The sequence below is a fragment of the Homo sapiens genome, chromosome 11, assembly GCF_000001405.40.
Source record: "Homo sapiens chromosome 11, GRCh38.p14 Primary Assembly".
Classification (NCBI taxonomy): Eukaryota; Metazoa; Chordata; class Mammalia; order Primates; family Hominidae; genus Homo; species Homo sapiens.
Genome location: NC_000011.10, coordinates 68,577,130 through 68,593,264, shown reverse-complemented (window position 1 = coordinate 68,593,264; position 16,135 = coordinate 68,577,130). Strand labels below are relative to the sequence as shown.

The 16,135-nt window shown below is 41.2% G+C and overlaps 1 protein-coding gene across 84 annotated transcripts in view, besides 1 other annotated feature; it reads right to left on the bottom strand.

The window, feature by feature from the left end:
- PPP6R3 (protein phosphatase 6 regulatory subunit 3) overlaps positions 1–16,135 on the bottom strand; it is a 154,583-nt gene that overhangs the window by 22,070 nt on the left and 116,378 nt on the right. For 21 of the 84 annotated variants that reach the window (NR_147967.2, NM_001352379.2, XM_047427204.1 and 18 more), the window contains 4 exons: positions 10,136–10,222; positions 5,241–5,338; positions 2,551–2,605; positions 1,559–1,689 (listed from right to left, as the gene is read on the bottom strand). Coding sequence is in view for 77 of the 84 variants with exons in the window: in NM_001352379.2 (NP_001339308.1) it covers positions 1,559–1,689; positions 2,551–2,605; positions 5,241–5,338; positions 10,136–10,222 (371 nt within the window). In the remaining 7 variants the exon portion in view is untranslated. Of the gene's footprint in view, positions 1–1,558; positions 1,690–2,550; positions 2,606–5,240; positions 5,468–10,135; positions 10,223–10,872; positions 14,656–16,135 lie in introns of those variants that run through there. The other 63 variants (NR_147965.2, NM_001352360.2, NM_001352376.2 and 60 more) reach the window with 7 other exon arrangements.
- Positions 8,983–9,483: an enhancer, noted in NCBI's record as "H3K4me1 hESC enhancer chr11:68351250-68351750 (GRCh37/hg19 assembly coordinates)". NCBI's record gives its function as "activates a minimal SCP1, AML or CMV promoter by ChIP-STARR-seq in primed H9 embryonic stem cells {active_cell/tissue: H9 hESC(primed)}" and the evidence as "EXISTENCE:reporter gene assay evidence [ECO:0000049][PMID:30033119]".

The window sequence follows — 16,135 nt, the reverse complement described above, 5'->3', positions numbered from 1 at the left end:
TTCATTTATATAAAACTCTAGAAAATGCAAACTAATAGAACAAAAAAACAGACGGTTGTGGGGGACGGGACAGGAAAGAGGAAGGTATTACAAAAGATCATGAGAAGACTTTTTGGGGTGATGGTTAAATTCATGATGTTGATTGGGATAATGGTTTCACGGATGTATATACATGTTGAAATTTCCACACTGTACAACTGAAATAAATGCAGTTTACGTCAAGTATGCCTCAATAGAGTTGTTAAATAATAAAAGCTGCCTTCTGTCATCAGTGTTCCCTCTGGGTATCAGGTGCCATCTCCCCCAGGACACAGTCTTCCCTGACACACTAAATTCTCTGTGCCTTCCACACGTGGTGCTCTGTGAAGATATACTGTATTACTGTCCTCATACATATTAGTCATGCTGTGGGCAAGCATCATTTAGTGAATCCATTCAACATAAGAAACAAAATCTCAGTAAATGATGGCAAACAAGTCTGAGTGTGACTTTATCCAAACAAACAAACAAAAATGCCATGAAGGTATTTTTCTTTTGCTGTCTGGCTCTGGAGCTATAGCAGCTATCTTGTGATCATAGGAGATAACTCAACATGCAGAAGACGAGAGCAGGAATAAATAAAAGATGCCCGGTCTAACAGCCTTATTCAACTCCCTTATCAACTCTGGACTGTAGAGACAAACACAGCTTTACTTGCTCAAGCCACCGCTGAGTCTGCTATAACCTGTGGCAACAAGCATTCCCACAAGAGGCAACATAACTGGCAGCGAGAGGTGATGCTGAGGGACTCCCCGGCAAGAGGACTGGACGGCTGGAAGAAGGGATGAGACAGTTTTACTTTTCATTGCATACTCTTTGATTCCCTTTGAATTCTAGGCCACGTGAAAACATTACTTATTATAAGTAAATGAATAAAATGAGTAACAATAAATGAAATAAAAATGAAAGTTCAGCTGTTGTTCAAATATTCCTCTCTTAAGCTGCTGATCAAATATTCCTCTCTCTTAAATATGAAGATTCTGACAATGAATGCTCATATAACAAGATTTGTCTGTGTACAGAAGCATCATTTATTTAGGTTCCTGTGATACGGATGATTTAAAAAAAAAAAGGACTGGATTGACCCAGATATATTAATTGACATGGCCCTATCTTCCCCAAATAGATTAACTTTTAAATACAATTTCCCCTTCCTTTGGGAAGTTTTCCATCTTTTACAAGAAACAACACATAACTGCTGTTGTAATTACTGATGACGGAACATTTATTTAGTAAAAGGCACTATGTGACTACGCTTGTCTGCAACATTTCCCCTTTGGAAGACGCTGGGCCCCAACACCTCACGAACTGTGTCTAAACACCTGCAGCATTTCCCAGCAGATCACTGTCACACTGGAAGCACCAACTCCCGCCAACAAGGGCATTTCTGGCCATGACAAAAAAAAACACTGGTTTCTGGGTTAACATGTATGTTTGGTGATGACACAATGTATGTCTCATGATAATCATTTTCTTTACAGGTTGGCTATAATTACAACTATAACCAACTATCTTTCACCTGGATCGTCTTTGGGATTCTGGTGTGAATGCGATGTGCTTTTCCTCCCATATATCTTCCTCATCAGAGCCACCATCATCAAACTGTTGTATTCTTTCCTTACAACATGCTTCAAACAAGGCAATATTTCCCTAAATAAAAATGAGAGGAAAAAAACAACAAAATAAATTTAAAGTCAAGTTATCTTCTCTTAAGCATTACCAATGTAAATTGCATTTTTTCACTGCTTTACAATATGGTGCCTATCACATACACCAAAATAAAATATAAACACCTAACATTAGTTTCTGTGTCCGTAACAAGAATTCCCCTAAAAAAAGACTGGGTTTCCCTAAAAAGACTAGCAAAAAGAAGCATAGACCATATCCTCTTTCATCTCATCAAAGCATCATTGTAATCCCAGGAGCCTCCCCTGTCCTGGAGATGCGGTCCCAGGTCTGTCCTAGCAAGGAAAAGCAACCGTACTTATTTGCTTTTACTAGTCCAGCTGAGCAGTGATAACCTTCAATGGCTCAAATCAGCAGTTCCTACCTTACTCCATCAGCAAATAAGCCAGTGGTCTCTCATGCTAGTCAACATAAAATCAATAAACTGTCTCCATTCAGGTGACACGACTGTCTCGGTGTTTCCACAGAAATGCCTAGTAACGAGGGGCTTGCCCTGACCCAGTCCACATTTCTCTCCTGGCAATACAAAGGAGTCAAAGGCAGTGGGTTGGTGTCAAACTGCAGCCTTCTCTTTGAAGTCAAGTGTCTACGCTGCAATCACAAGTGACCCTGGTCTTATTAGCTCCACCAAGTCATAAACCAGGGCTGCAAAAATCACATGCCCACGGGTGCCAGGTAGGCCGTGGGACAGAGTGAAGTATGTAACACCAATTTAGGATTAGGGCTCTAGAGCACAGGGGTCCCAGCATGTGGCATCCACACAGGGACTCACCCAATTTTTAACCTCTCATGTGCCACACTGCTCACAACAGAGTTTATACTTACACTTTCATTTGTATTGAGAGTAAAGTTGATGTCTGATACTCGATCAAAAGAAACACTGTAAAAAAACAAAATAAAAGTGTAGGAAGCATTAATTACTATCAGCTCACAGAAACCGTATTTATGAAAGTTTCCAAATTTAAGATATTTACACTATCATCAAAATCTCTATAAATAAAAAACAAACAGAAACAACCTTCTTATATTAAATGATGCCAGCTCCCTTGGTATTAATGAATTTATGTAGGATAGGAGGGCTGCAATAGAAGCCTTCTGAGACATAAAGCCTTTGGGACACCCTTGAATCCTTCCTATAAAAGATTTTTAACATCTATGGTAACAACCATAGTTCCATGGGCCATACTAATATAACCAAGAAAAAGGTTATTTGCAAAGAACCAAGTCAAAACATGAAGTATACAAAAGCTGTCAGACACTTGAGTTTTCTCCAGGGATAGTCAAACTCATACACAAAATACATAGACACCCATGAAATCTTATGCTGTTAACAAGATATCATCTAGAAAAGCAAGGAGGGAGTAAAAGAATTCATTGCTTATTAAACATAAGTTTGAAGAGGAGGGGCTATCTTATGATTCTTAAAATATTTGTTCCACTCAATCACTAGTCCAAGCATGCAATACAGACTGTAAAGAGATTACAGATCCTAACTAGGAAGATGAAGCAAGAGTCCAGGCACGTGAATGTCGAGACACCAAACAGGGACCTGCAGGGTCTGGTGTGAGGTGGTGGATCCTAGCCTGAGTAGAATGCTCCTGGGGTATGGACAGAATATCTTGTGTTCTTGCTCTTTTTGAGTTAAAATGAGCCAATTCTCAAGGCACGTAACAGCCTTCAACTCTTGCTGTTTACAGCGGCACCTCCATTCCACTGTGCCCATACGGCATGTTTATAGCACAATTAAGAGCGTGCTGTAAAAATATTTTAGCTTCTCACATACTGCAAACTGCAACCTGTGACAAACAACAGGCTCCACTGGCTGTGGTTCAACAAATTATTGAGAATTTACTGCTTCCAAAGACCACAGCAGATACTGGGTGTCTGTGGCATAACCGTGTCTCCTGTGAGAATCATCATCCAATATTCAAATACCAGCTGCCTTCATTTTTTTTCTTAAACTCTGTGTCAATGAGCTATAATATCTACCTCAAAATATTTTGTTTATAAATCTCTTCTATCCCAATGTCAGATGCTAGACCACCTGTTTTCATTTCTATTAACTACCTACACATTTTCTACTCGTTAATTCTGTACAGTATCAATAATTCTCATTTCTCTGCTTCTTACCCTGACTGCAAAATGAGTGGTTAGTGTGTCTGGCTCTTGCAAAAAACCCAAATCTACCTTCTGATGAGTCACCTAGAGATGAGAATACATGTAGGGCAGAGCTTTTCCTGCCAACCTGGTCATCTGCTGGAACGTGATGCCCCAGTCAACAACACAGGGATTAATAATTTTATTATTATTATTATTGTTATTGTTATTATTGAGACAGGGTCTCCCTGTGTTGCCCAGGGTGGAGTGCAGTGGTGCAATCCTGGCTCACTGCAACCTCTGCCTCCCAAGTTCAAGTGATTCTCCCACCTCAGCCTCCTCAGAAGTTCGGACTACAGGCACACACCACCCAGCCTGGCTATTGTTTTTGTATTTTTAGTAGAGACAGGGTTTTGCCACGTTGGCCGGGCTGGTCTCGAACCCCTAACCTCAAGTGATCCGCCCGGCTCGGCCTCCCAAAGTGCTGGGATTATAGGTGTGAGCCACTATGCCAGGCCAGGATTAAGGACTTTATAGATAATACTATTTAACGTTAAGAGCTAGAATTAAGAACAGTGACTTGAATTCCTAAAAGTGTAATCTAATAACAATAGGCTTCTGTGAAAGAGGTCAAACCCTATAGGTGAATGCTTCTTTCCTTGCAGTGATTTTTTTTTTTTTTTTAAAGACCGAGTCTTGGCCAGGCGCAGTGACTCACGCCTGTAATCCCAGCACTATGGGAAGCCGAGGCAGGCGGATCACGAGGTCAGGAGATTGAGACCATGGTGAAATCCCGTCTCTACTAAAAATACAACAAATTAGCCAGGTGCGGTGGCGGGTACCTGTAGTCCCAGCTACTAAGGAGGCTGAGGCAGGAGAATGGCGTGAACCCAGGAGGTGGAGCTTGCAGTGAGCCAAGATAGCGCCACTGCACTCCAGCCGGGGCAACAGAATGAGACTCTGTCTCCAAAAAAAAGGGACCACGTCATGCTCTGTCACTGAGGCAGGAGTACAATAGCACATCTCAGCTCACTACAACCTCCGCCTCCTGAGTAGCTGGGATTACAGGTGCCTGCCACCACAACTGGCTAATTTTTTATATTTTTGGTAGAGACGGGGTTTCACCATGTTGGCCAGGCTGGTCTCGAACTCCTGACCTCAAGTGATCCGCCTGCCTCAGCCCCCCAAAGTGCTGGGATTACAGGCATGAGCCACCGCACCCGGCCACTGCAGTGTTATTTTAAGTCCTAATTATCCAGTCCCAGGGCCAATCTGCTGGAACTAGAGGAACACCGTGGAAAGAGCAGGTTCCTCCCACTCACGAATGCTCAAGACTAAGAATCCCGCAGAATCACACATACATCTACCAAGAGCAAGGGTGTGCAAGAGCAACAGCGGAAACAGAAAAACATACTCACTTGCCAATGTCATCTTGATCTGCAAACTTCTCATCGTTGAAGCCAAACTGGTCAATAAAATTGGACGTCATTTGTTGCATCTGATAATCAGAAAAGGCCTGGCAACCCCAGGACCAGTGACAGTGATATAATGATTCTAATGATATTCTACATACTATTTGCCCATTTGTGTTCCAGAAATCATCTTATTTACATAGCCATAGGGCTATAAAAGTTGGTGTGTTTTTCTAAAAGAAAAATCAAATAATTTCAGACACAATTTGCCAAAAAAGGAAACGTTTGAAATTTGGTCTACAAATCATTCTAATGCACATGTCACTGTAAGAAACACTATGTGACCACTCTGTCCTCTATTGTGAATTATCTTTAGAGAGAGGTTTGGATTAAGCCTAGTTTAAAGTGATCACATGACATGGAACAGTCTGAAATTATAAGGTGTATCAGTCACCTCTGGACACAACCAACTTTATCCTAAGATCCAACAAGTGGTGACCACCCCCTCCCTCCTTGCCACCTCCTCCACCCCCAATCTACTACAGCAAAATCACACCAGAGGAAAACCGACTGATGAACACAAGCATAATCCTAGAAACAAAATGTTCAGGGACATTTCATTTCTTTTTTTAAAAAAATTAAGTCTTAGAGGCTGGGAAGAATATAAAACGAAAATAATTTCTACCCTACCTACCTTATGAAGAGAGTAAACGTTTGACTATTTATCCAAAATCACTCTGAAAAGTCTCTAACACTAGAAGACCCACAGAGGAGCCAGTTCTGTTTCCTTAACACCAAATCTAGAGAGTACCAGACTTGTTCGGGTTTTTAGTTGAAAATGTGGGGGGGGGGGGTGTTATAATGGACCCCAGGAAAATGTTGATATTCTAATTTAAAACAAGCAGGCCCAAAGAAGCAAGTGAAATCAGCAAGTATGTTCTTACGTATTAATCAGGAGTAAAGAACATATGAAGACAAACTAGTGCCACCTCCTCATTCTAACCCAAACAATAAATACAGTGACCAGAGCTGCATACAGATGAGACTGCCGTTTTCTGTGGGTGAGCCCATGAGGGGCAGGGAGGCGGCTGTTGGCTCAACTGAAGGCATCACTCCCACTGGCATTTGCTGGGAAGGAGGCAGCTGTAACTGTATTAAACCACCTTCTCCTTGGTTCCACATATGGGCAGAGCCTCCAGATTCCACCTTGCAGATGTACACTGCAGAAATGCCTCTACCATTAATTCCTGATTACTCATTCTGGTGGCAGGGAATTATGGCATGGATAATTATTGCAGATAATTTAAAAATAAACCTTATATTAGGCTTTGGAAGGTATCTATACTGCTTAGGTCTGAAGAAAAGCTCTATATGTCTAGTTTGACTAGACAGAGAGAACCCAAAACCTCCCTTGTCGCTCATGCAAGACAACAGCACACCCACTGCCCCTCTGCTCACTCCCACTTTTGTGCTGCCCCCTTTCTTGCCCCCAGAGGTGATATTAGATGAGCACATGGGGGCAGGGAGCAGGGGGCAGCAAGCGACTGGCTGTGGAATGGCCACTTGGTAAGGCATGGAGTGTAAACCAAGGCTGAGCACGGGGGTCTGGCTGAAAGCAGAAGGGTAGGGACAAGTCCTGGGCTGCTGAGCTGAGTTCTGGACCTATGAATGGACAATGACAGCCAGCATTAATATTAATTACATCAAAAAGAAATCAGTTCTTCTGAACTGCAGCTTTATCTTTTATGAGGCAAAACAGATGCTCAGTACCTCAAAGATCTGGTAAAGAACCATGAAGTGATTCTGTTGAGTAAGCAGCATGAACCACGCTCTGAGTTTATCTACAGATCAGAAATGTGGTCACGTGAGGGAAAAGTTCCCTCCCAATTGTTTTATTTTTCCCCTCCAAAAAAAAATTTTTTTTAAGAGACAGGGTCTTGCCATGTTGTCCAGGCTAGACTCAAACTCCTAGACTCCTACCTCCTAGTAATCCTCCTACCTCAGCCTCCAGAGCAGCCAGACTACAGGTGCATGCCATCGCAGCCAGCTCTCTCAAAACTGTTATACCTCTAGTGATCCTAATGTGATTCTCCTGGGTGTAAAGGGGAAGAAATATTCCCCAAAATGTTGTTATATTTTAAATGCTTCAAAAATAGAATGCAAATACTAAATATGAATGTATACATACATACATGTACATACAGAATACATATACAGATATATATTTATCTATTCATCCATCTGGAGAGATACATAGCAACTGACACAGACACTAGTAACTTCCATGCAATAATGCACAGAAAAAAGGAAAATGATCAGATGTAATCCTCATTAGTTCTAAGTCAATTACAGCTTCTAGCAAAGAACTTCACATTTCAAATCTCATTTTTACTAATAAAGCTACCAAAACTTACAAATATATGTAAGTGAAGACTGTTATTGTATCCTATTTAAAGGTATATAAAAAGTGCTTTGAACTCTGAGAAACCTATATCTGGAAAGCACAATATAGCTGTATAATTATTTTTAAAAAGCACACTTTCCTAGTACTGTCATCCTGGCCAAAGTCAGAAACTGTTCAAGTCACTGAGAAGTGAGCCAACCACTTTAAGCAAATCTCTTAACAGTAATGCCACCCAGGCAACAGAAACTACTGGTCAACTAAATGTGGCCTAATTGCCTACCAGCAAGCCCGTATGTGATGTGAGGTAGTGGGAAATGATGAGTCAGTGTTTCAGAGCCCATATGCGGCAGTCAGTCTGAATTCTCCAGACCTCCATGGGGGCCTCACCCTCCAAACTCTATAAGGCAGAATCAGGGAGGTGGGGAGTCAAACACCAGACTTTAGGAGACCAGACAAGGCTAAAGGGAGAAGCAAATGGGCAGGGCACAAACGCCTGGAGGCACTCCCCACTGGTGACGTGGCTGGGTTACCTGGTTAAATTATCTGCCCTGAGCTCTCTACATTCGGGGACTTTATCAACATGATGCCCAACCTCAAACGTGAATGAGAACTTGAAGTTCAAGTCTACAAACTAATATTCTGATCTTAATGGAGGCTATGATGAAACTCTAATAAATTAACCAAGACCTTTTTTGCATTCTCAAAATTTTAAGAAGTGCTTTGGAGTGTATTTATTTTCAAAATGATCCATGATTGGTTTAAACATGCAAAGAAAAATGTACTGGAAGCTTGTCAATCAGAAAAGAGTAATTATTCTTCCACTTTGAAAAGTTCATATGAAGTGGGTAAATTCTGCAAGCTAAGAGCTTGGCAAGGGCTGTTGTAAGTTAGTTTTGTGAATGAAATGGCTTCGTACGCACGTGAGCTGTCGGTCAAACAAACAAAATAATGTAAGAAAACTCTCCCCAGAACAGGTATGACCCTGGAACCAGATATCATGAGAAATAAAGGAATCCACTTTCCAAATGCCTAAATTTAACCAAATCTAGACTAAATTGACAGCCGAAGTTCCAAGTTTATCATTATTACTAGTAAGGTGTTCTTTTTCTTAAAGCTGTATTTCAACAGGTACAAAATTACCTTGATAATTTACATTTGATATCATCAAGCTTCATTCTAGGGGTGGACCAATGTACAGCACTCAGGTTCATGGCCAACTGGGTGGACTATTTCAGTACTCTACAGGTGCCTCAGTGGAGGGAGAGCCCATTGTCCAGGTGCTTCCTGGGACAATACCAGAGCGCTCTGGGAAAAGGGCTGCTTGCAGGCACGAGGGCTCACAATGAGCCATGGTGGGCCACCGCCACGGCCCGTGCAGCCTAATAGCAAGCCAAGGCAGGAAGCTGTGAGAGCTGCTCAACAGTGCCCCCTAGGGACTGGCTACTTCCTGACCCTAACCTCCGGAAATCTGCTGTCAAAGGCAGAAGTGTCAAGAATCAACAGAGAAGTCAGCCAAATGCTGAAATGCTACTTCAGACCTATTTGGGAAAGGTAAACTCTAAACTGTCTGAGTATTAAAATCAAACAATTGCTTAGCTCAACCAATACTGGAATATGACAGGTGTAAGACTTACAAGCCAAAAGACAGGGCCAGCATAAGCATGTGAAGCTTCATCTAAGACGAAGCTTAGAGACTAAAAAAAAGAAGCCAAGCAACAACATTCTGTGCTGGGTGGGAAGGTGTCCCCGTTAATTCTATTGCTGCACCAAAGCAACATGTAAGCCAAGGCATTCTGGTCCTGGCTAAGGACAACTTCTCCATATGAAAAGCTGATAGCCTGCAAAAGGGCTTCTGTTTTTCACTCCCATACCTAGTAGAGAAGTGAAATCATTTGTCACTTCTCCAAGAACTAACAATGGATGATAAATCAGTACATTTATTATTCATATCGAGGCTTTCCCCCACAAAGATTATAAGCAGGTGGTAAAGGGAGATGATAAATTCAGGGGCAGGCAGAGAGGGGTTGCAATGAATTACTTCAACTAAAAATTTACTTTAGATGTAACTATAATAGAACTTACATCAGGGGTATTCGTGAGAGTTTACTTTTACTTACATTTTAAACGTCTTATTTCTATTATTTTTACCAGCAGATCTCTACTACACAAATCTTTAAGCAACAACTCAACTATTGTAAAGGTCTGTGTAACAAGCATGTGTGAGATGCCTTCTTAACTATTCAGTTCATTCAAATCTTCTGAAAATGTACTTGACTCATCACTGTTATCAGGGATGGAACAATCCCTTGAAACATAACCAATACAAATCTATCTTTCATTTACCCAGCACTTCCTATTTTAAATGCTTTGGTCTAACTAATAAGTAACCCCAAATCACATTCTAATACATAATCTGACTCTGAAGCTGATTCATAAAAGGCAACTAAACTAAGCATTTAAAATAAAAACAAAAAGCAAAGCTTTAGGCGTGACTCACTTGCTGCAAAGAAGAATCCTGTGAGAAACCCGTTTCTTTAAAGTCAATTTCATCATCACTGGATGAATGAATATGGCAGGTTGTAACCTATATGCATAAAAATGTAAAAGACTATTTAACATAGAAAAGTTTTGGACATTTGTATCAGCATTTTTATGGAAAAATCACATTTAGTTTTTTTCTCAACGTGTAACAGAAAAAAATGAAAGTCAGTCACAGTTAAGCTGCCAAACCCGCCCAATGTGTCAAGGGCACCCTTCCTTCCCTCGGGCCAGGCTGCTGCCCTGCCACTCCCTTCTAGTTATTCCACTCCTCACTACTGACATCGCCAGAAAACAGACAAGAAGAAAGGTGAGTTACTCCATTTAAGTGATTTTGATAATCACCTCCAATTAAATGTTTACAAAAAGAAAGACAGAGGTAATGGCACAGATGAAACACAGAAACCCTTTCTATGTACGGGGCCTGCAGGGTCCAACTGCAATCCCCAGGGATTACCAGTGCGCCAGTGCGCCACTCAAAAGGTCAGGTTTAAATATAACCATTTCAAATTCTTGGACTTCCTGCCCACACTAAGAAAACCACTGTCTAGTAGTACTAAATGTGACTTGAGTCGACAGCTTCCCACTCACAAAAGACCCCAAATCATCTACCCTTGAAAATGTGCACCCTGCCCCCAGAACTTACAACCAACTTTCAGTAATTAAGCAAAAACACAAACATGAACTGCTCACCAATTCATCGTTAAGTGATTTTTATTAATTACAAATGTCACACAATATTTGGGGGAAGCATTAACAATTAGAAATCAGATAAACAAATAATTAAGTACAGCACTAATAGTAGTGATTGCTATATGGCAAGGGATAAACATGGACAGTTTGTAAACTTCTAGAAAGAAGTACTATATTTCTGCGGGTAACTTACACTGTATTCTCTGAGCTGTTTATTCTGTACTTTTCACAGAAGTGTTTTGGGCAGGGAATGTCATCTTAGGGAAGACACGGGCTGCTGCTACCTGCCAACTCATGAGGCTGTACCTAACTGGCCTGGTCTGTTTTGCGAAGTTGTTCCAACACTGGTTCAATAAACCCACAGTAGAATTCAAATAGGTCTGTATAGGGTATGTCTTGTAAAATTCTGAGCAAATCACTGCCTGAACAAGATGAATCTCCCTTCCTTTCCCCAACCATCTTTGGTAAAGACACCAAGCCTGGATGAAATTAAGCTGTGATAACCCAGTGTTTCCAGTTATTTCACTCTCCATCCTCTCAAAGGTATAGATAAAGCACTCCCATTCTGTTTGTGAATCTGGCCTGATGAAATCAAAGGTAGATTCCGTGATCAAGGAACGGCACCTGCTTGAGTCAAGAGTGGCTTTAGTGAGTTACTGGGTAAAGATGTGGGCATGGGGATGTTCCAGGAAAGCCTTGCCAGAGTGTAGAGGAGGAGTGGGAATACTGCTTGGTCATGGCAGCTGGCATCTCACAGGACTATGTTAAAGAGCAAGTCAAGTGGTTGTACTGCAGTGCACTCAAGAGGAGCTTCGGGCCACTTGGCTGGCAAGCCAGCACACATATCATGCTGGGCCAGTGTGTTTTAGGGGTGTAACCCCATGGTGGGGCACAGAAATAGAAGGCCATGCAAAGAACTGAGCAAAATAGGACAAAACAGAGTTGGCGACTCTTAGCCAAGTCTTGCTGTCTAAGTTAAAATAGGATTCGATGTATCCTCATTCACACTTTCGCTTTTTCCTACAAAATAAGATTTTAACACTCTTTAATTAAAGATGAGAAAGAAACTAACTTTTATTGAACTACTATGTGCCAGACATTGTGACCTCCCCTTCGCATGTTCTACTTAAACTGGATCCTCAAAGCAATACTAGAAGATATTTAAAAAAGCTTTCTCCAAAATGAAACTAGTTTTAGCAACTTATTAGTAACACAATGCACACACATCTTCATAATTACATTAATGGAAGATGTGAGTCTGATTCTACCTACACCATCTGAGTCTGAAATCATTAACAAAATGAGCTAAAAAGATGATCTACCTAGGCTGGGCGCAGTGGCTCACGCCTGCAATCCCAGCACTTTGGGAGGCCGAGGCGGGCGGATCACGAGGTCAGGAGATCGAGACCATCCTGGCTAACATGGTGAAACCCCGTCTCTACTAAAAATACAAAAAATTAGCCGGGCACGGTGGCGGGTGCCTGTAGTCCCAGCTACTCAGGAGGCTGAGGCAGGAGAATGGTGTGAACCCAGGAGGCGGAGCTTGCAGTGAGCCGAGATCGTGCCACTGCACTCCAGCCTGGGTGACAGAGCAAGACTCTGTCTCAAAAAAAAAAAAAAAAAAAAAAAAAAAAAAAAAAAAAAAAAAAGATTATTTACCCATGGGGGAAACTTGCTAATCAGAATCCCATTGGTTCATTATTCAGATGTATACAAAACTGAATTCCTGATCTACACTTCCAAACACACTCCTTTTGAGGCATCTTCAGCTCAGTCACTGCCACCTTCACTCTTCTTCAACTAGAAACCTCGGTCATCTTGTTTCCTCCAGCCCACCCACCATGTCCACTCTACCTTCAAAATGGAGCCAAAATCCCTCTCCAGACCCATCGCCCTTCACCAAGTCTGTTATCAGCTCCCCAGTGCAAGCCAGCACTCCCCTCACCTGGACTAATGTCACAGCTGGCAGTTCCCCAGTCTCCCTCCTCCTAGCTCTTGCCCCACCTAGCAGTCTGTTCTCAACCCAATAGCCACAGCCATCTTTTAAAAATATACATCAAGGTATGGCACTTTTTAGTTCAAAACCTAACAAATTCTCATTAGATCAAAATTACCATAGACTAAAAAGCTGTAGAAAATCTGGCTGTTTGGCGCCTTTCTGGCCTCAAGTCCTTCTGTTCTCTCCTTTGCTTACTGTTACATCCACACGGGACAACATGCAAGTCCCTGCACACACTAGGAACAACCCAAATTCGAGTCCTCTGCATTTTGCTCTTCCCTCTCCACTCCACAAATGCACCTTCCCAGTGAGATTTTCCTTGACACCAGATTTTAAACTGTACACCTGCCCCAAAGACTCCCTAACTCCCTCCCATGCGTTGGCTCCTTAGCACTTACCATCTGAAACACGCGCAGTCATGCATTGTTTCATGACAAGGATACATTGTGACAAAGGCAATTCTGTCATCATGCGAACATCATAGAGTTCACATGGTAGAGCCTACTGCAGACCTGGGCTATCTGCTACAACCAATTGCTCCTAGGCTACACACCTGCACAGCACAGTACTGCACTGAATACTGAGGCAACTGGAGCATGGTGATAAGTATTTGTGTATCTACAAATAAAAAACGTGCAGTAAAATCGAGTATTCTAATCTTATGGGACTACTGTCATATATGCGGTCTATTGCTGACCGAAACATTATGCAGTGCATGACTGTATATTACACATATTGTGTGTGCACACGTGTCTCTTACTCATTTGTTTATCCATCTCCACTGAAGCAGAAATTTTTGCCAATCTTGTCTAGTACTGTATCTTCAGTGTCTGGCACATTGTAGGCACTCAAATATTTACTGAATTAATGAATACTAATAATCACTGAATATAAACAAATACAGCAAAAAGCAACAAGTATATAACACTCTTGCCAAGCTAGATATACCGTAAGTAAAGTGCACTCTTGTTGTAGTGCACACAGTTTCGGAGATATTATCTTCTTTCGAAATAAAATTTTCGTTTTGTTAACTGTTGTTACAGGAAAAAGCAAATTGGTGTTTACTTTGGATGATTAGGTTCCCAAGGGAAATCAGAAGTGTGAAATGACTGTTAAACTCTGAGGCCCGTATTAGTGACAAGTGAAAGCTAGAGACTTATTCCTTGATCCTCAAAGTATGGTCCCACTGAGGACCCCCAGCATCAACATAACCTAGGATTAGTTAGAAACACCCACTTTCAGGTTTCACCCCAACCTGCGGAAACTCCTGGTGATTAATACAGGCACACATTCAGATCATTCTACATCTCTTCTTCTACACACTGTCTTGTCAATGATGGGAAAGAAGCATCAACAATTTTAAATACATTTTCCCCCTTGGGGAAGAGGGCAAAAAATGAAACAAACTCAAATTTTTCAAAGTCAGTACAAAAACATGTCCTATGTTCTCTAAATTCACTCTACCTAAATCCTTGCCAATTTTTAGTTTGGGGACTTGGTCAAAACACAGAGGTCTTTGGATATAATTAAAACACCAACTTTTGTTCATCATAAACTCCAAACATAAAAACACAGGGAGTATATGAATCTGCTGTGCACGTATTTGGGTATGATGGAGCCAAAAGATTAAAGCACTTCGAGTATCTCAGAGAGAATTTAACTAAAATGTTACAGAAGTGATAGGAGCCTGGGGCTGGGCACAGCTTATCCAAAAGAAGTGAGCAAGTCCTCAGGTACACAGCCAATAGGACAGGAAAGTGTTCAGTGTATAAATGAATGTATCCTTGCTGTAAACAGAAAAATAACATGTCAGGTTAACAATGCACTAACTTAAGCACGTGGTGCTGAACTGGGCTGACTCCACTTCTATGAATATACCTGAAATGACTTCCAGAGAGGTAGCCAAGCTATTCTAAAATCAAGGAAGTCAAGGCAGTGTATCTAATCTTATCTATTTGGGAAAGGGAACAGGGCATAAGCAAGCTATTATTTAACTACCAATTCCAGTGACAAGCATGTTAAGAAGGCAAGTGTAACTACCACATTTCAAACATGGGCACTCTTTTTCTATGTCACTTTTGCAAGGGTAAGGCCCACTGCATTTACCAAGTTGTGTTTATAATAATATTTACAATTGCGTATTTTCCTGAAACATGGTACCCAACCCCACTGAGATACAGCTTGAACACATTCTGGACAGGAAAATGAATGGCCTGGAGGATACGATTAAAATCTCCTTGGTGCCTAGACCTACTATATAAGCATATTAAACACTTGGAATAGCTGTAGCCCTCACAATACTACAAAGCAAAACTCCCTATCAGAAGGACTTAAGACTAAACGGAAGTGGTATTTAAGAAAGGGCTCGGGAATAAAGAATTGAAGAAGTATTTAGATCCACCTGAAAGTCTCAACAGACAGCAAAATTCTGGAGTGGGGCTAACTCAACAGGGGATATAGGTAATGTTAAAGGGCCCTATCAATCTAACCACTTTTGCTTTATAAGCCAACTTATGATTTTGTTTGACTTTAGATTATGCAGTCCGAGTATGATGGCAGAAAAGCAGAGCAAGCAAAGAAGAACCGAGACGCAATCTGAGTGACAGATGGAGCCCAAAATAATTTTTTTCTAACACAGTCTACCAGGGGCTGAACGTTTTATTTTTGCGGGATGACCACACCCTTCTATGGGGATATATGTAGTAACATTTACACACAATCCCAGAGCAGATCTGCTGACAGCATACTATACAGTAAGTGAGCATTATCTGAATTGTAATGAAGTCCTTCTTTATTACAGAACTGCTCACAAAAGAAATATGCTTGAGTTACCTAAGATAAAAACAATTGTTTAAAAGTCTGGTAACAAGCTTAATTGGACATTTTTGACTTCTAACTTTTAAGCCAATCAAAGGATAATTTTAAAAGAAGTTTCCCAAACAAAATCAGATTACTAAATATTCCTTTATAAGACAAGACAATAGTCCCCTTAAAAGAGACTATATTGCCTGCAAAGGAATCAACGTGGGAACCTCCAAAATTAAGCAGTATGATTTAACAGTATGGGAGAGGACAATTCCATTCTACAAAAAAAACCCTGATTATCCAGAACACTCAAGTTAAACGATAGTCCGAGTATCTATCTACAATGGGTAAAATATTCATTAAAAATGACTTAACCCTTCCTTGATGACCCAGGGCTGTCAATACTAATGTCATTTTCTCTGCTGGGCTGTGGTACACAGAGACACTCGGGCTATTAGGCCT